General features: G+C 43.4%; 1 protein-coding gene and 1 pseudogene across 6 annotated transcripts in view; one reads left to right on the forward strand and one right to left on the reverse strand.

Moving 5' to 3' along the window:
• Nucleotides 1-18,915, reverse strand: part of ALG1L1P (ALG1 like 1, pseudogene) — a 61,266-nt pseudogene that overhangs the window by 37,420 nt on the left and 4,931 nt on the right. The gene's annotated exons all lie outside the window — the stretch shown is intronic.
• Nucleotides 2,487-16,763, forward strand: ROPN1B (rhophilin associated tail protein 1B). 4 transcript variants are annotated; one of them, XM_006713513.4, is made up of 8 exons: nt 2,487-2,709; nt 3,348-3,460; nt 4,426-4,471; nt 5,352-5,479; nt 8,872-8,989; nt 10,313-10,474; nt 15,579-15,754; nt 16,563-16,763. In XM_006713513.4, exons 4-8 carry the CDS (start codon nt 5,364-5,366, stop codon nt 16,627-16,629), a joined length of 639 nt encoding a protein of 212 aa, XP_006713576.1. In that variant the 5' UTR covers nt 2,487-2,709; nt 3,348-3,460; nt 4,426-4,471; nt 5,352-5,363; the 3' UTR covers nt 16,630-16,763. The 4 variants fall into 4 exon arrangements, with proteins under 4 accessions (XP_006713576.1, NP_001295242.1, NP_001012337.1 ...); NM_001308313.2 differs by lacking the exon at nt 3,348-3,460; NM_001012337.3 differs by lacking the exons at nt 3,348-3,460; nt 4,426-4,471.

Consider the following 18,915-nt stretch of genomic DNA (forward strand, 5'->3'; position numbering starts at 1 on the left):
AAAGGGAAGCAGAGAAATGGGTGAAAGCTGAAGAGGAAAATGATGGGAGAAATTAGAGCATGTTTGTATATTGATGGGAATTATCTAGTAGAACAAGGGAAATGATAAGAAAGGATATTCATTTGTACAAGAAAATAGCAGAAAACAATGTAACCTACTTGATAAAAGATTTTATGTAATAAAAGTTTTTATTGTAATATATAAGACAGATTTTTTTACTGAAACATAATAAACACCCATGAACCCACCATCCACCCCAAGAGCTGGACCACTACCGGTAACATCTATGTGCTCCTCCCTCTCTACTCTTACCTCTGTTTTAGAAGAAAGCAACTTTCCTGAATTGTGTTATTATCGTTTCCCTGTAAAATTATATTCTCTTGACTGTATCCTGTTATTTATTGTATCCTGTTATTTATTGACTGATAGATCAAGGATAATCTAACCTACGCCTCTCAACCTGGCCTCCTACAGACAGACATCAAATCACCTCAGTCAGACAGTGCTATGAAATTCCTCCCTTGTGTTTAACCTGCTACTCTAAAATTCTATTTTATTTCATCTTCCATCTCCAGCTGTTAGTGCTTTGTCTGAAAAACCTGTTCTTCTGCACAAAGATCATTATTATTCATTCCTGTCAGTATTATTTACTCAGCATGAAAGCAGGAAGAGATTGGCACACCTTCATCTCATGTGCATACAACAGAACAGACTCCAGTGGCCAGAGCATTCTTGTTATCCTGGAAGATGCACCTGCAGCCCTCAAGCCTCCAGCCTCCCCCTCCCAACCTAAGGCACACTCTGTTGGTCAGGTGCCTGTACCAACACCTGGTAGCCCCTCCACAGAGGCCTCAGAAAGATAGGTGATAGCTAGTGACTAGGTTTCTTTCATCCCCAGATCTTGCCCTGTGGGCAGTGGCCGTCCCCAGACCATCCAGGATTCTCCAGGTGTGCAAGGACCTGCAGGATTTTGACAAATGCCAGCAGAGTGGCCTCTTTACAAATGGATGACAACAGGCTGTGAAAAGCTTTCTGCATGCATAAGCCAAAAATCTAGTTCCCCCACTTGTTCACTGATGCTTAAAATTGCTTTAGGGAGAGACAAAGGCTTTCATCTCACAACCAGAGAAAGCTCTGAAGACCCTGGGTGAATTAATTGATTTAGACTAATACACACTGTAGTATAAATGGACTGAAGGATTACATGATGCAATGAGCAGCTTTCATATGGGTGTGAAGTGACACGGGGTGTAGCAGAGAAAGATGGGGCTTTTCTTGCCTCTTTGGGTGCTTAAAAAGAACAGTCTTGAGGCCAGGTGCGGTGGCTCACACCTGTAATCCCAGTGCTTTGGGTGACCAAGGGGGGGTGGATCACTTGAGCCCAGGGGTTCAAGACCAGCCTGGGCAACACGGCAAAACCCTGTTTATAAAAATATAAAAATTAGCCTGGTGTGGTGGCACACACCTGTAGTCTCAGCTACTTGGGAGGCTGAGGTGGGAGGATTGCTTAGACCTAGGAGATTGAGGCTGCAGTGAGTCATGATTACCCCATTGCATTCCAACCTGGGCAACAGAGTGAGACTCTGTCTCAAAACAAAGCAAAGCAAAACAAAACAAAACAAAAACAACAGTCTTGAAATCAGAAGACCTGGAGACAAGTTGGGCCCTGGGCCCTACTGCCAGCTGTTTGATCACAGGCAAAATTACTCGAAGCCTTGAGCCTGTTTTCTAAAACGAAGGTAATATCTACCTTCAGAGTTTACTGTGAAACTTTGATGTCATCATGTTTGTAAAAGTGCCCTGGCACAGTGACCACATTCTACCCTATAAATATTTTCTATCTTTCCCTGTTGTCCCCAGGCATCTCAGGCTCTGTTCCTATCCACTCCATGCCCCTTTCTTAGCATTATAAGGTCAAGAGTGAGGAATCTGGGACCACGCAACCCAGATTCAGATCCTGACTCTGTCACTTGCTGACTGTCATCTTGGACAAGTTTAACCTCTCTGTGCTCAGTTCCCTCATCTGTAAAAATGGGGATAACAATAGTACTTGCCTCATGGGGTGACAGTAAGGATGAAATGAGTTCATGTGTGTAATGCACTTAGAACAATTCCTGGCACCAAAAACGCATTGTAAGAGGTGTTGTTGCTATGATTCCTGAGGAATTCTCACCTGTCCACTTTCCACAAGCCGAAAGATCAAGCTCCACTTCTGCCCTCTCACCTACAAAAGCGCACCGTCAATGGCTACACATTCCGCCCCACCCCCAACGCCCCCAGCCCGGGTTTCCTAACGTCCCCAGCCCAGTCCTTAACCCTCCAGGCCGTCTGGTCCTTCCACCACCAGCAAAGCCCAAAACAGCTTTCAGCGTCCCCTAGCAGCGCCCTAGCGGGACCCTGGGAACCCGCCGCTGCAGGAGAGGCGGGGCGGCTCTGTGACGTCGCGCCCGGCGCTACCCCTGGTGACCTGGCAGCGGAGCCCGCGCAGGGTTTGCCAGGCGAAGGCGGAGCGCTAACGTCTAACGCTAACGGCGGTCGTGCCCCGCCGCTGCTGTCACCCCCGGCCGCTGCTGCCCTCCCCGCCGAGGTTCTACTGCTCTCCTTCTTAAGAAGGGTGGGAGGCACTCGGTCTCTCCCCACACCTCTCGCCTGAGGCCAGGCGCCAGGTGTCGCCTGAAGCCAGACAGCCGGTTTGGGAGCGAGCCTGAGGTAGCCACCCCGAGGGGAAGTGGAGGGAGGGCAGGGCTCTGAGCGCCCCGAGGGCTGCGCTGGTCTGAGGGAGGAGCCCTGCCGGACGCCCCCTGGATTCTGAGCCTCTCCTTGTTCACAGGGCAAGGGGAGGGCAAGGGGAAGGCAAGGGGATCTTCAAGAGAATGTGACTGTGGGGGATTATGGCTTTCTGGCCAATTTGTGTGCGTATTTTGTACCCAGAATACTATTATACGGTTTCTTACCCGGAGGACAGTGGTTGGGAGGCTCAAGAGTTTGGAATCAGAGCCCTCCACCGAGGAGCCACACCTCTGCTTTTTCATCAGCGACAGGGATATAAAAATACCTCTGGGTGAATTGTCATGTGGACCAATGGGCATACCTAGCACTTCATAGACTCCTATCACACATTATTTTATACCTAGCACTTCATAGACTCCTGTCAGGCATTATTTTATACCTGGCACTTCATAGACTCCTATCACATATTATTTTATACCTAGCACTTCATAGACTCCTATCACGCATTATTTTATACCTAGCACTTCATAGACTCCTATCACGTGTTCATTTTATAGCTAGCACTTCATAGACTGCTATCACGCATTCATTTTTACTAGTACCTATTGAACACTAAGTTCCAGGCACTGGGCTAGGCACTGGGATGGTGTGGTGAGCAAAAACTGACCAGTCCTGCCGTGGAGTTTGCTGGGGGAGACACATGTTACTCAAAGAATCACACTAAGGATAGGTAAGTGATGCTCTGGAAGGGTATGTACAATGGAACTGACAGGGTAATCAGGGAAGGTTAAGCAGACCTCCAAAGGAAGAATCAACCTGTTAAGAGGAGGAGAATGCATTCCAAACAAGAGTAACCACATCCCAAACCCACCACCTCCAATTCCGAACCCAAACAGGGATGTGCAGTTGTCTGTGCTTGGTTCCAAGCCGCTCATAGAAACCCTCTGAGATTCTGCCCTGGAGCCTTTCATTCATGTAATGGAGACTTTCATTTATGAAATGGAAGCCCTGTTTAGCCCATACCAATAAAAACAAGTGAGAAATCCCTGAAACAAGACTATACAGTCTATTTTAAGACCTACATTCTTCAGCACTTGGCAGGTATACGTTGGGCTGCCATTTCACATTGGGAGGCATGTTTTGTTTGCTTTTTTGTGTTTTTTAAAAATTCCTTTCTTCCCCCCTCTCCGAGAAACACCCAAGAATGATCAATAAATACTAAAAAAATTTTAAAAAATCCTTTTTTCCTCTGTACAGATTTAGTGGTTATTACTGTTAAAACTTTTCTAATACTTTGCAAAGTCTAAAATTAATCATTATTTTATCATCCTTTTCCTCCAAATAAAAGAACATAAATAAAGTAAAAGGTCATGAAGTCCCACCAATCTAAGACCACTTTAGTTTCTTGTCTTGGGATTTCCGAGCCATGCTGGTGTTGGTATAAATGGAAAACTTAGAACTAGTCTGTGGCTACCAACTCCTGGGGGACTGTTTCTCTCCTGACTAGAAGCAGCAATGGAGACAGGTTTCTTTGTTGCTTACCCCAGCCTGTAGGCAGATATTTTCAGCCACACCTTTTCACGCTGAGGGTGTAGTCCCTGGGCGGGTCTCAAGTTTAGGTCAGAAGGGGAGTCCTTTAGTCCAGACATTTGCCTTTTGTGAGCCTAATCCTTGGTCTCTATCCACCCTGCCTAGCAATTTATCTCAAAGCTTCAAGTTCCTGCCATCTACATGTGCCCAGGTGAGCCCTAGTTTCTTCATTTGCCCAGCACTGCGGGTTCCCCTTTCCTCACCTCATTGGCCACTGGAAGATTTCTCTCACTTCACTGCAAGCCCAGCAAGGCAATGTGAAAGGCTTGTACTGAGATTTGTCTGGCCTCTAGGTGTTTTGAAGAGGGACAGCTTTTTAGCATATCTAGTCTGTCCCTTTCTCTACTAAAAGCAGAAAAAAATCTTTTGATCTGTTGTTTATTTGTGGATGGAATTGTATATATTTTATGGATGTTCATGTTTTGTTTCAATTTGTCCTGGAACTTTTTGAGAGAAAATGTACGAGTTTTCCGCCTGACAATTAGAGTTGAAAAAACATGCAGCTATAAACAGAGACGCTCATCAAATGGCTGTTTAATGACTATTTTTATATGGAAATAACCTAATGTTAATTCATAGAGGGTTCAGAGTAAATTTTGCTACAATTCTTACCTAGCTAATAAGAGCTGGATGACATGCAAAGATGTTCATGATATACTTTTGAGTAAATAAGCTGTTTTGCATAATCTTATTTTTTTGTTTTACAAACATATATATTTATACTGAAAAATTCTGGAAGGAGACATCCAATATTTTAGGGTGATACCATTAGGGATTTTTTTGTTGACTTCCACTTTTTAAATAAAAAAGGACTGTGTAATTTTTACGTAAAGGATATAACTATTTACAACAAAAAGTAGGGGTTAGCAGACGGCTTTCTAACCTTGCCGTTGTGTAACAATAGAATGCATTTGTCTTGCGGAGTCCCCAAAATTGAGTGTCAAACAGAGGCTGGGTGACCTCCTGTCCAGGATTGCTCTCATCTTATGAGTCCAAGTTTTCATCTTATGTATTTTTTCTCCTGAGAATAGGTCAACCAATCAATGGCTCAGACAGATAAGCCAACATGCATCCCGCCGGAGCTGCCGAAAATGCTGAAGGAGTTTGCCAAAGCCGCCATTCGGGCGCAGCCGCAGGACCTCATCCAGTGGGGGGCCGAGTACGTGCTCCTTTCTCGCCTTCATCTCTTGGAGGACGGGCGGGGAGAGAGGGTCCTGTAAAACCGCGGAGGTTGTCATGGCTGCAGCCAGGGGGTCGGGACTAACTGGCATCGTCTTTGTTTTAGCTCTTGCATTGCTTTGATGCTTTAAAATCCACACATAAATACTACATCTAGCCGGGCAAGGATGGGATGCCTCCCCTAAGCGAGCCAGATTGAGCAGTAGGACGCCAGGTCAATAGGCCGTGTCCTGGGGCAAGCAGCAAGTTAGATGACCGCGTCACACCAGCGTATGCACACCCACCTCCTCCCTGCACGCCTTTTCCCACTCTCGGTGGAAAGAAGGGCTGGGAATCTCCGCAGCTTAATCTGCCTTTCTTCATTCTCCTGTCTCACCACTAGATGGCAGCAGTGCAGCCGGGGGAGGGAAGCGACAGCCCTGGGTGGATGGGGTGGGACCAGTCCTGCTAGTTCACTCCTTTAAGGAGACACTTCCTCCCCTGCTGTTAAAACTCATACTTGGACCCAACCAAAGAGGCTTTGTATCTTTGAGGAAATTATTGTTATTTTCTTTGGTGTTTCTCTGAACTGATTTGTTCTGCCAACATAATGATGTCCTCACAGTACACACTGCATTCTGGGGAAAGGCCAGGCAGAGTGATGGGGTCCTCAGGCATGGCTGAAAACAGTGTGCCTCAAACACGGGTGCCTTCTTTCAGGAGAGACCTCCAGAGGCTGCTCAGTAGATGGAGCTTACACAACAATCGCTGCGGGCCTGGATTGAAGTAGCTTTGCACAGAAAGCCTCTCAGCTATGAAATTGCTCCTTGGACAAACTTGCCTGCTTGAAACTGGGGAACCAGGACTTGAGACAGGAGTTGGAAGATAACTAGACCTCACGGACCATTTTCAGGCTATTTTTACTGTTTGATGATTCCCTGCTTAGGAGGGTTTCAGTGGGAAAGTGAGAGTGAGAGAGGCCGTTGAGAGAAAGCCAGTGAGTTGGGGAAGGGAAGATGTCCTCAGGCTGAGGTTGTGAGTGGGTGTCCTGGGCAGATGGTGGGGAGAGTGTGGACACCTTTGAGAAGACACAAAATGGCACCTAAGAGGGGCCTTTCGGAGTCTCTGGGCCAGTGTTGTGCTCCTGGTCTGGATTAGGATGCAGCTTTTACAATTGGAAGGAAAATAGGCCAGTGGTGCTCATAAAAAGAAACATAAATGGGGGTTGCTTTGCCTAGTAATAAGCCCTGTTTAGTTTTCCATTCTAAATTTTATATATTGCCTCTAAGATTGAACTTTAGCTTCAGAAGACTAATTTATTTTGGCATAGTCAGATAGACAGACTTTATCTTATACGTTAGTTTCAAACCCATTTGATTGTTCTTGTGCTGCCGTTTTATAGTAAGCAAAATGACATTGCTTAGTATTGTCCCTGACATTTATGGAAGAGGCATTCCACTATTGTAGACTGCTTGCTCTCGTATTGTATCACGTGCTATAATTTTTTTAGACATCCATGAAAACTTAGTTTGTAGTTTAACCACAATGAAAAAGGAGGGCATGACCTAAGAGCCCCCTCCATTCTATCCAGACATGAAAAGCACTGCTCAGATGGTTGTATGTGACTTACTTAAAACCTGTAGCATTTTAGAGAATAAAACTCTGCAAAGTGTTTCCAAGACAAAATACGTTTTTAATCCATTGCAAGTAAGAATTTCCCTACATATGTGTTGTCAATGAAGAAACCTCTTACCAGGTATTGGCAGGACATATACTTATTTGTCCTCTGGTAGGCATGTGTTACAACTCAAATTTGCAATATATGTGTATAACCATGGACCTGATCACTTGCAAATGAAGCTCAATAACCCAAAGAATGAAATCCATGATTACAGCTTTGCTTCCATGTTGTCTAACCAATTCCACAAGAAGTCCAGAGATGTTGCTGCTGAGTGTTACTCTACCCGGGCAGCACTTCTGTGGAATGAGGTGCTGTGTGTCTCTGTCCCTCCCATTTATACCACCCAAGTCTGGAAGTCTGGTTTATAAAGCCTGAGTCCACACCCTGCTCCTGTTGTCACAGTGCACCCACACCCCGCCCACCCCAACACTGATCTGTGTGCAGAGATTTCTCAAGCACATTGTTAAAGGTGCCCTTCCTGCTGATGACCTCCAAGTGGTGACCGGCAGTTACTCCTTTAGTCCATGTAGCTTTCACTCTGCCTTGCTATGTGGCTTAGAGACAGGCAATCGTTAGCCCATCATTGTATGGCTTGACCCTAAAGTGGGCTTTTACAAAATTCCCTCTATATTATTTTCATACTACCTGGATCTGGAGGAAGTAATGGAGGGAAAAAAGCAGGGCGGAACAGAAATTTGTGGTTCATGGATCGTCAATAACCAGGCTTTTGATGGAGACAGACCCTGCCATGCTGCTTTGGTGACCCACATGTCAGCGGCTCATGTCCATTCCCTGCTGCAGGCAGCCTCTTTTCATCTTATGCCAGTCCTGAAACAGAACTCAGTACTTGTTCCACAATGCCCCCAAACAAAGTCCACTCCACAAAACATTGAGGAGCAGGCAGATTTCACTGAAAATTTTGAGGGAAGATGGAGAAACAGTTTTATTTTACAGGCACCATATAGCTTAAGGTTGTCTCAAACCTTCTTTGGCTTCTCTTCTCTCCTGAGCCTTGCACAGTGCCCTGCCAACCCTCTCTCCCTTCCCTCTTGAAGCCCCAAGCCTCACTACATACGGCCAGAAATCCTTCCTGATTCACCCCAGGATGCTTCCATCTCTTCCCTTTCCTCCTTTTTCATTTCTTCAGAGATGGGGGTCTTACTCTGTCACCCAGTCTGGAGTGTAGTGGCACAATTATAGTTCGCTGCCTCCTCAAACTCCTGGGCTCAGTGGTCCTCCAGGCTCAGGCTCTGCAGTTGCCAGATTACAGGCCGTAGCCACCATTCCTGTGCTGCCTTCCCCTTTCTTACGTACATTACTTTTTAGTTCTCTTCCAACTTCTCTTCCCAAGATTATATATACACATGTAACATATATCTGTGTGTATAAAACATTCAGAGATGACTGGAAAAAAACCCTGAACCCAATATGCTCCAGGGAATTGCATACCCAAACTTTTCTTGGTTCTTCCTCATCCTTAGAGAAGAACAAAGCTTTGTATTCTCTAAGCATTCTCTGTGCCCTAAGTGGAGAGTAACACATTCAGACTTTTCCCATATGTAAGTGAACTAAACACAATGACACATAGAAGCCACTTTACAAAGGTTCCTTTCTCTACCTCCTTCCCTCAGAAGAAGGGGGAAGGATTGCTAGAACAGCCAGAGGCCACTGGTGTATAGGATCCTCCTACTCTCTGACTTTTTTTCTTGTAGTTATTTTGAGGCCCTGTCCCGTGGAGAGACGCCTCCGGTGAGAGAGCGGTCTGAGCGAGTCGCTTTGTGTAACTGGGCAGAGCTAACACCTGAGCTGTTAAAGATCCTGCATTCTCAGGTAAGGGCCCTGCTGCAGCATTGAGGAGAATGTAGGGACAGTGTTGAGGCTGGGTGGGTACAGACGAAAGCCCTCTGTTCTCCTGCCAGTCAGCTGACCACTTAGCACCACCCTAAAATACACTAAACCGTGGACTGAAAGTAAATCTTCCCTTGGGGAAATGGGAATAATTTTGAAATAGGCTGCAGGCTGAGTCATTGGTGGGGTCATCCCAGATTTCCTTGAAGCTGGCAGAATGTACAGGGGCTCAATGCAATGCTAATCTTGTCTCTCCAGAAAAGTGCAGGTCCTCAGTCACTCGACAGTGTCTCCTTACTGATCAAGACCATAATATGATGCCAATCACAGTTTGGGGAAGGGCATATTTTAGCTCCCCAGTTATCCCAGGTCCAGACATTGCTTTTAGCTTTTAGGGAGAGGCTGTGAGCCTCTTCATAGCCACATCATCCTGGGAGCTGCCTGGTGAATGAATGCATGAGGAGGGTCCGGCTTGAGAAAGTTTGTGGTTTGGCCAATTCCCAGGAAATATGGTTGAGCACCACCAAACCCTGCTTTATGATCCAGGACAGAGCGGTTTGGGGTGATTTAGGACTGGCTTGGCTAACCACCTTGGTCCCAGAGGCTTAGCATTTCACTAGAATCAGACAGTCAGGAAAGGTGTTGGAGCACTTCATCGGGCATCTGTGCTCTTGTTGCATTGGTGGCCAACAACCAGTCATCTTCTCTCCTTTTGTCCACCAAGCACCTTGTGCAGTGAACATGACAGAGCTCTAAAATACCTGGGATCAAGTAACATTAGGCAGCCAGATCAAATCCCCGTGGGTCAGCCACATACCCCATATCATTCCTGGGAAAGCATGAGGGATGCACTTGAGGTCTAGAGCTAAGAACTCAGTGCAATCGGGAAGAAACAGACCTATGTCTTGTTCTAATTTTACCGTTAATTAGTGGTCTCAGGTAAGCCCTCTACCCCTTGGTTTTGTTTTCAGGCTCTTCTATCTGTCATATAAGGAATAAAACAATTTAGGAATACAATAGCAGATAAAAGCATCACCAGAAATTAAAATGTAATATAAATGTATATCTTTTGCATAATTCTGACACCTAAAGTTTGACAATTAATAAATTATATTTCAGCATGCTCTTCACTAGGATTTGCAAAGGTAACTGCCACACAGAGCCATCTTTACCTTCCTAACACCCCCTCCCGCCCCTTGCCATGTGCTGGGAGATGTGGACCTGGCCTGGGGACAGGGTGTTTCTCAGGGCCTTGTCTCAACTTCTCCCACAACCTCTGTGTTGTGTCTGTCCCCTGCCCTGCAGGTTGCTGGCAGACTGATCATCCGTGCAGAGGAGCTGGCCCAGATGTGGAAAGTGGTGAATCTCCCAACAGATCTGTTTAATAGTGTGATGAATGTGGGTCGCTTCACGGAGGAGATCGAGTGGCTGAAGTTTTTAGCCCTTGCTTGCAGCGCTCTGGGAGTTGTAAGTTAGCTTGACTGTTTTTTGTTCCTGAAGGGGAAATCTCCCTCTGGGCCTGGAAGGGCAGTGCATCTATACACGCGGTCAACTCTGCAGGGCTGATGATAAACATGCCTCTTCTCCTATTGTCCTTCTCCTCTCTAAAGCAAGGTCATTTCTGTGCTCGTCAGGCAGTGGCAGGGGTTGGGAGGAGGAGAGAGGGAAACACTGTGGTCAGGCTCTGGGGAGAGTTGACTACAGTGTAGCTCTTGGATTATTTATGAATATTGCCCTCAGATTTATTTTCACTCTGCTCCTTCCATTCATATTCCCAGAGACAACCAAGAGCCGACTGTAGAAAAAGACTTCCAGACACCTAGAATATATATCAATAGACACTGTTTAAAAGGGGTACAATCTTATAGAAAACTATGTAATAAACAGAATTGGATGCAGAACTCAGACATAAGAAAGCAAAAACAAAGAGAGATGAGGCTATTTCTGAATTTAGTCATGACATCTCCATGGATACAGGATGTTCATACAGATTTATGCCTTTTCCAAATTTGACTTGTTTGATATTGGAAAAACAATTTTACTGTTTTGAAGCCAAAGATGTTGAAATCAGTTTATATGTATAGATATTTAAAGCTTGGGTATCTTATATGTGGACTTACATTGTTAAACATTGTTAAAATAAAATGAATCAAAAACATGGTTTTTAAAAAGAATCCCTGAGATACATAAAAGTTTGAAAATTATTGAGAAAATAATTGCCTCTGCCAAAAACAAATGGTATGAAAAGGTAGTCTGAATCATTCAGCATATCTAAACATAATCTTGTTCTTCTCAAATATGCTTGGAATGCATATTTGACACGTTTGTTTCTGAGAAAATTTAGCAGAAATATTGTAGTCCAACTTTTCCTATAGCTTCCCCTACAATGTTTATCATTGCTTTAAAGAGAAGTGAACAAGAGGACATTTGTGGCTTTTTTTCTTCATTGTCCTTTATAGCATTTATTACTGAATAAATCACTATCCTCTGAGGAGGAAAGGAAAGTAAGCAGCAGAGGCCTATGAGTTGTCAATCAGGACGGGAAAATCACAAACGGGAAGATAAAAAAATGAACACATTTTATTAAATTTTCATAGGTTTACAGATTTTTTTCACACCACATTTGGAGACGTTTTGGGGGAAAATGTACCTTTAAAATTTTATCTGCAGTTAATTCTGATCTTGTCTACCCCACCCACAAAGGGTCAAATAAGAAAATAAATAAATTCAATCCAATCCTGAAATTTTAGTCTGATGCAGTAACTGAAACAGCCTAAAGGTACATTTCCCAGTATCTCAGGTTTTTCCTCACCACGCTCTCTTCTCCAAGATGGCAGTTGAATGTAGATGGAAAGAGGACCACAGAGCAGTCGTTTCTCACATCCCTCAGTCTTCTCTGGCATCTCTGGTCTCCATGGTAATGCCTATCTGTCTGGTCGCTAGCTGCTTGCAGCTTAAGTTTTTGGTCTCGTCTCTCCCAGATTGGTGAAAGTCTGAGGATGCCTCCCGAGCTGGCTCATTTCAGTTCTCAATGGTGTCAAGGGCCTCTTTGAGTCCGCCAGGGTGTGCTATCTGCTCCCTGGCTCTGGTGGTCTACTTCACAGCCCCTCACCAGTGTGTGATGTGTCTGAGCCCTTCCCTTATCCCCATACCTCAGAGTAACAAAGAGTGACTTTGGAAAGTCAAATTCCAACCCTCCCTCTGCTTAGCCCACCGTGTAGATGCTAAGTTTCTTCTGATGTACCTGCCTCCCAAACTAGAGAGGGGAAATCATGAGGTGAATTGGATCTTTCTACTTCCCTTCTAAAACAAGGAGGTGGGATTCAATGTTCCATGAGATTCATCTACCTCTGACATCCTGTGATTCTATCCCCACTTCTCTGCTTCCTCTGAGACACCCTCAGGCCTACCTCTGAATAACAGTGAGCTCCTCCAATTCTAAGAGGCCTTGACATATCTGACTTTGCTCCTCATCATCCCCATGTCAAAGAACCCCTAGAGGTAAAGTCAGCCTGGAGGTTAAGTCTGTAAATAAGGGGTGCCCTATGAATCCAGTAATCAATACCCTTATATTCATTTCTATCATGCTGGACTGTTTCTGGGATCTTAAATGTGGGGTTGGTCAGTGGTACAGTGTGAATGTTTGTGTCCTCCCAAAATTCATATATTGAAATCTCAACTTCCAAGATGATGGCCTTAAAAGTAGGGCCTCTGGGAGTTGATTAGGTCATGAGGGTGGAGCCCTCATGAATGGGATTAGTGCCCTTATAAAAGTTGCCCCTCCACCAAGTGAGGACACATAGAAGGCATCATTCATGAGGAACAGGCCCTCACCAGAGAGCAAATCTGCTGGCACCTTGGTCTTGGACTTCCCAGACTCCAAAACTGTGAGCAATAAATTTCTGTTGTTATAAATTACCCAGTCTAAGGTATTTTATTATAGCTGAGACTAAGTCAGGGGTCACCATCTGGTGGAGACCTTGCATCCTAGTTAATTCATATATCCTTAGAGGCAAGCCCAGAGTTTCTCTTTCCTTTGCGAATTCAACGGCAAGACAGGATCTCTGTGTCATCTAGAAAAGCCAGTTTGTTCCTTGTAGAAGAGTCTAGTAACAGGAATTTTTACTCCGGTAGGTAATAGGTACATTTACTCCATCTTGAGCTCTCTGCGTCGAATACACATTATTCAGAATGCGATGGCACACAGACCTGTATTCCTCCCCCCTTCAGCACTCCTTCCTCTGGACTGGCCTATGCCACCTCCTGTTCCACTGAACTGATTATTAAAAAAGGAAGAGATCACGTATGTAGAAAATAATCATGTTCACTGGAAAGAATGACTTTTTTTTAGCAAATTATTCACATTTCAAGGCTTTCACCTCTGACTTTGAAAATGAAGCTCGCAAGATGTTTAAAGACTACCTCTGTGAAGTGGATCCCCAAAAAAATATTGTGCAAGAGAATGAAGATCTGTTTCCTTTAGATTTATGTCAGTTTACCAAATAGCTCTAGTACAGTTATTTATCCACTCATCCATTTATTAAATCTTTAAAAATATTTAAAAATCTTACGAGGCAATAGAATTTGAAGGGTTATTGTTTGAATAATCAATAAAAGATGATGTTTAGAGTTGAAAGCCCCTATGTTAGTTTGTTAGGGCTGCCATGACTTGGTGGCTTGAACAACAGAAATTTGTTGTCTCTCAGTTCTGGAGGACAGAAGTTCTGGGAACAAGCTGTCAGCAGGACTGCTTTCTTCTGAGACGTTTCTCCTTGGCTTAAAAATGGCCAGCTTCTCGAACTGTGTCCCTCTGTGCCTACATGTCTGGTGGCTCTCTCTATGTCCTAACTCCTCTTCTTAAAAAGACACCCTACTGACTTCATTTTAACTTATCTTTTTAAAGGTCGTATGTTCAAATACAATTGCATTCTCCAGTTCTGGGGTTAAGGCTTTGACATATGAATTTTAGGGGGAACAATTCAGCCCATACCACCACCCCATGGAGAGGGCAACAGAACAAAGCATTAGGGGTGCAGAGGGTTGTTTTTGTTTGCTTGTTTGTTTGTTTTTTACAGAAACGGGTGAGCTGTGGGTGGAAATTATAAAGTTCAGAGTGTGCTTGCAAATCTACCCCAAAGCATTCTCCCACTCACAAGCATGACTTACCATCCTCCCAGATAGCCGCATATATACTTGTTAGCCCCATGCCTGCCCTCCCACCTGCTCTGAATTAAGTGGAAGTGCCTAGAAGATGCAGTGTTTCACAATGATTTCCATGATAGGACCCCCAGGGACAGAGGAGAGGAAAGGAAGGTGGCCTGCCTCAAACTCATTTTTTTTTGACATCGTGTGGTTTATTGAAGATTCTGTTTCATAAAATAACAATGCTTACTAAATGTAAAGAAACAAATTTTAAATATTAACTCAATTAAAATTAATAATTATTATAAATTATGTTTAAATTACTTGCCATCAAGTAAAACTATCACTCAAGGAAGAGTTTATTCACATCCTCAGTACCTCCTGACATAGACTTATGCTCCTGGGTAACACATACCACAGTTAGAGAAGCCTCATCTAGGCAATCATTCTGTTCTGGGAGAGGATGAGAGGAGAACAGCAGACATCAACTGCTAAGGCAGGACAAGTCTCCTCTACTAATCATGTGGGAAGATACAGCAGCTGCTTTTTCACTCACCCTAAGTCACCACTCAGGACTGATCTTTCACTGATCCCTGGAAGAGTGTGTCAGGATGATCCGTACATCACCAGTTTCAGTAAACCACCAAGATCTGTATGCTGAGCTTCATTTCACAACTCTTTTGCTTGTAACATTTATTCAAAGGGTGGGTTATTTAAAGACATGAGATGAGTTCTGAGCATGCTCCTTTAATGTTCAAGTTTCATTGTAAGGAGGGTTTGCTTCTGTAGTAACCCTTCTGTTAAAATTCCTGGCACTCATTCTCAACCAATATTTCCCCAGCAATAAAAGGGTTAGTATTACGTAAAATGAAATAAAGCACTAGGTGATTCTATTTAGATGGACCCAGATGCTTTGGAGGAAGGTTTATCTTGATGTTCAAGACCTTTTTTCCAGTATCTTCCTGGGACTCTATTTTCCTGGGGAAATTATCCTTCTCTTACCTTCTTCTCCTCTACTGTGTCTTGCTGGAGTATATAGGCTAGACCATTTATCTCAGCCCTTTAGAGATAAGATTGGAGGGTAATAAGAAATAATTCTAATTATATAGAATGCAAATCAACTTCCCTCCTTTAGTGAGGGTATTCAGACTAAAGTAACAAATATCTTAAAGTATTTAGGAATTTATAAATTTAATTCCTTGAGTAGTCTTCTAACAAAGAAAGAAAAATAAAGATACCCAATACTCAATATTTTTTAGAATGAATTAGTGACATTTGAATGTAAAAATTTCAAGCTTTCTAGAATCTTAAATTGTTCCCACTTCATTTTATAAGAGCAATATTTTTGTTTTCTTTCTTGTATCTAAATGGATCTCAGGAATATTGCCTGGAAGAGTAACTTTCTCCTCATTTTATGTAACTTTTATAGACTATTACCAAAACTCTCAAGATAGTGTGTGAGGTCTTATCATGTGACCACAATGGTGGGTTGCCCCGAATCCCATTCAGCACCTTCCAGTTTCTCTACACGTATATTGCCGAAGTGGATGGGGAGATCTGTGCATCACATGTCAGCAGGATGCTAAACTACATTGAACAGGAAGTGTAAGTTAACTTTTACCAATTGGAGGTGAAAGAATACCAGGAAAACAAATCTATGGGGCCAAGACAGAGTGAGATTATTGTATTATACTGCTCTGGGAACAGAAAAGTGAGGACATGAAATATCGATCTGAAAGAAAAGGAGAAAGGGAAGGAGAAGAGGAAGGAAAAGAATGATATAGGACAATAATTCTTTGAGTGCTACTGAGGCTAGCAGTAGCGGCAGCGGCACCTGAGAACATGTTAGAAATGCAGAATCTCAGGCTACACCCTAGACCCATGGAATCATAAACTGTTAGGGGTGGAGCCCAGGAATCTGCGTATTTATAAGCCCCTCCAGTAACTCTGACTCATGCTTAGCTATGACCAGTGGAACAGAAGTGGAGGAGGAGGATGAGAGGAGGAGCAGCAAGTCAAGAGTTAAGAGGAAAAGAGGGCTGGTCATGGCGGCTCACACCTGTAATCCTAGGGTGGGTGAATGGCTTGAGCTCAGGAGTTCAAGACCAGCCTGGGCAATATGGTGAAACCCCATCTTTACTAAAAATACAAAAATTAGCTGGGCGTGGTGGTGTGTGTCTGTATCAGTTAATTGGGAGAATGGCTTGAGCCCAGGAGGCAGAGGTTGCAGTGAGCCGAGATTGCATCACTTACTCCAGCCTGGACGACAGAGCCAGACCCTGTCTCAGAAAAACAAAGTTAAGAGAAAAAGGAGCAACAGCAGAATTAATGTGAAATGAGAGTTGTTTGCATATTGTCTTTCTTAAGATTAACTGTCAATGAACTAACTGCAGATATACCTTTATCCAAACAGAATTGGTCCTGATGGTTTAATCACGGTGAATGACTTTACCCAAAACCCCAGGGTTTGGCTGGAGTAACAGCACAATTTTGGCAATTTTAAAGGAAGATACAGAGGTGATTGTACTTCAGAATGATAAACCCATATACCACCTAAAATCAATTTTCTTGTACAACTGGTACACACTAATAAACAAACATGTGAGATCAGAAATGTGCGGAATTAAGATGTGAAATTGTTGGAACAAAACACCTTCATTACCAGGAGATTAGTATTCTTCCCACATGGACCCTGAGTAAAAGTGGGTGACAAAGCATGGATAGAAAATGCATTTCCCATTAAAGCCAGACTGTCAGATTTTAAAAAGCAGTATGTTAACCAGACACAGTGTTGTTCTGTGATTGTTAGGCATAATTTAGATGAGTGTCTTTTATATGGTCAATTGAAGTTTTTACCAGTTTATTTCTCCATTTGTTGGTACTGTGTTAGTCATTCATTCATCCTCTCACTCATCAATATTTATTGAGGTTAGCTATGTGCCAGGAATAGGGTTGCCAGAAAAAATACAGGACACCCAGTTAAATTTGAATTTCAGACAAACAGCAAATGTTTTGTTTTGTTTTTTGCTAAACATGGCAACATTCCAGGAACTATGCTGGCTTCTGAGCAGATACAAATAATATCTGAATTCTGCCTTCAAGGAGCTCACAGTCTAACATAAGAAAAGCCATGAACATACATTACTTTCATGCAAATGGCCTTGAGAAGAACTAACAGTATTCCAGAAAGTGTCAATGTCAATGGATTTTTCTGAAACCATATACAGATGTCATGGAACCCACTAGAGAAAATCCCCTACATGAGCCTAAGACCTTCTGACAAGGTCTTAAACATTTTCCTTTCTCGAAGGAAACAGATGAGATTAATAGACTGTGATTCTGGTTCTTAATGTCAGGTGTGCCAAGGTCGCTGGGTCAGTCCCTTGTATTTGTAATACTATCCCCTCTTAAAAGTTGCTTTTGGTCAAAAATCATGTTATGTTACATGCATATGTCTCTCTACATCAATTGAGGAGAAATCTGTCTATTAGTGTCTAAAGGTAAGAGGAGATTGTGATTGGATGTTACCATGGTCCTTGATTTCTGACTCGAGTGAAACAATAAAAGAGACTGAAACAAATTCTTCCCCCATAGCACTGGGCTGCACCTGCAGGGGATGGGCAACAACTAATGCTACCTGCTGTCTGCCTTCCTAGCCAAAGTGGCCCCGCATTTCTTTATTTTTTAAATTATACTTTAAGTTCTAGGGTACATGTGTACAACGTGCAGGTTTGTTACATATGTATACATGTGAGTGGCCCCTCATTTCTATCTGCTCTGGAACCTAAGGCTGTTTGAGAAGTCTGAAGCACTACAGGTGAAACCTGACACTGTAATTAATCAGGATTAGAGAACGAGTGAAATCCTTTAACCTGCCTCAGATTCTTGGTGTCTCAGTTTCTCTTTCACTGTGGCCAAAGAACTGAAATATGGTCTTGTCTGCAAATAGGGAATAAAGGGGGACAGAAGAGACAGCTCCAATTTGAAAGACCTTAAAATAACAAATTAGGTTCATAAATGTAACAAAAGCAAGAGTCCCTTGTACATTTGGGAAAACAGGTTGAAATCAGAAACTTAGTCTTGGTAGCCTTGAACATAATCCCTCAAGAGTGAGGCTAATGAAATTCCAACGACCCAAGTGTATACTAGACACAGACATGAAGTTATTGGTGCTGTAGCTATCCGTGCTTACTGAGACTAAGCACAATTGGCAATACCATTGTTCACTGCCAATTGCTCATCTTTTGAGCCACCACTTGGTGTGCACCACCTTCCTCCTCTCCTGCCCTGGCTCACTGGGGCAATGCTTGCTCTAAGCTATTGATATTGCTATGCCACAGCTGCTCACTAGGGACACAGTATCTACAGCACATCTGCCAAATCAACCTGCTTCTGCAGTCACCCCAAGGATGGAAAACAGCTTTGTGCTTTGCCCTCTACCTGGGCTATGCTGTATTAACAATATTATAAATACTGTATTAATGATAATACCCAACATTTATTAAGCACTTACCATGTGTAAGCCACTGTGTACACGGCTTTATACATTCTCAAATTTTTCCTTACAATATGACCTTATGAGGTCAGTGTCATTATCTCTAACAAACAATCTTAGATAAATTAAGTTGTTCAATGTCACTGGTGAGAAAGAATTTGAATCCAGATCTGACTCCAAACCTATGATGCCTTGTATATATCCTCAGTGCCTGTCTAGGTATGGGATTCCTCCCACCCCCAGCCTGAAATAATCCCTGAGACAGAGATTT

Source organism: Homo sapiens, chromosome 3, assembly GCF_000001405.40.
Source record: "Homo sapiens chromosome 3, GRCh38.p14 Primary Assembly".
Taxonomy (NCBI): domain Eukaryota; kingdom Metazoa; phylum Chordata; class Mammalia; order Primates; family Hominidae; genus Homo; species Homo sapiens.

Coding starts and splice junctions, on each gene's coding strand:
- ROPN1B (XM_006713513.4), top strand. CDS start 5,364: ATGGCTCAGACAGATAAGCCAACATGCATCCCGCCGGAGCTGCCGAAA. Junction 8,990..10,312: donor TAAAGATCCTGCATTCTCAG/GTAAGGGCCCTG, acceptor CCTGCCCTGCAG/GTTGCTGGCAGACTGATCAT. Junction 10,475..15,578: donor CTTGCAGCGCTCTGGGAGTT/GTAAGTTAGCTT, acceptor TAACTTTTATAG/ACTATTACCAAAACTCTCAA.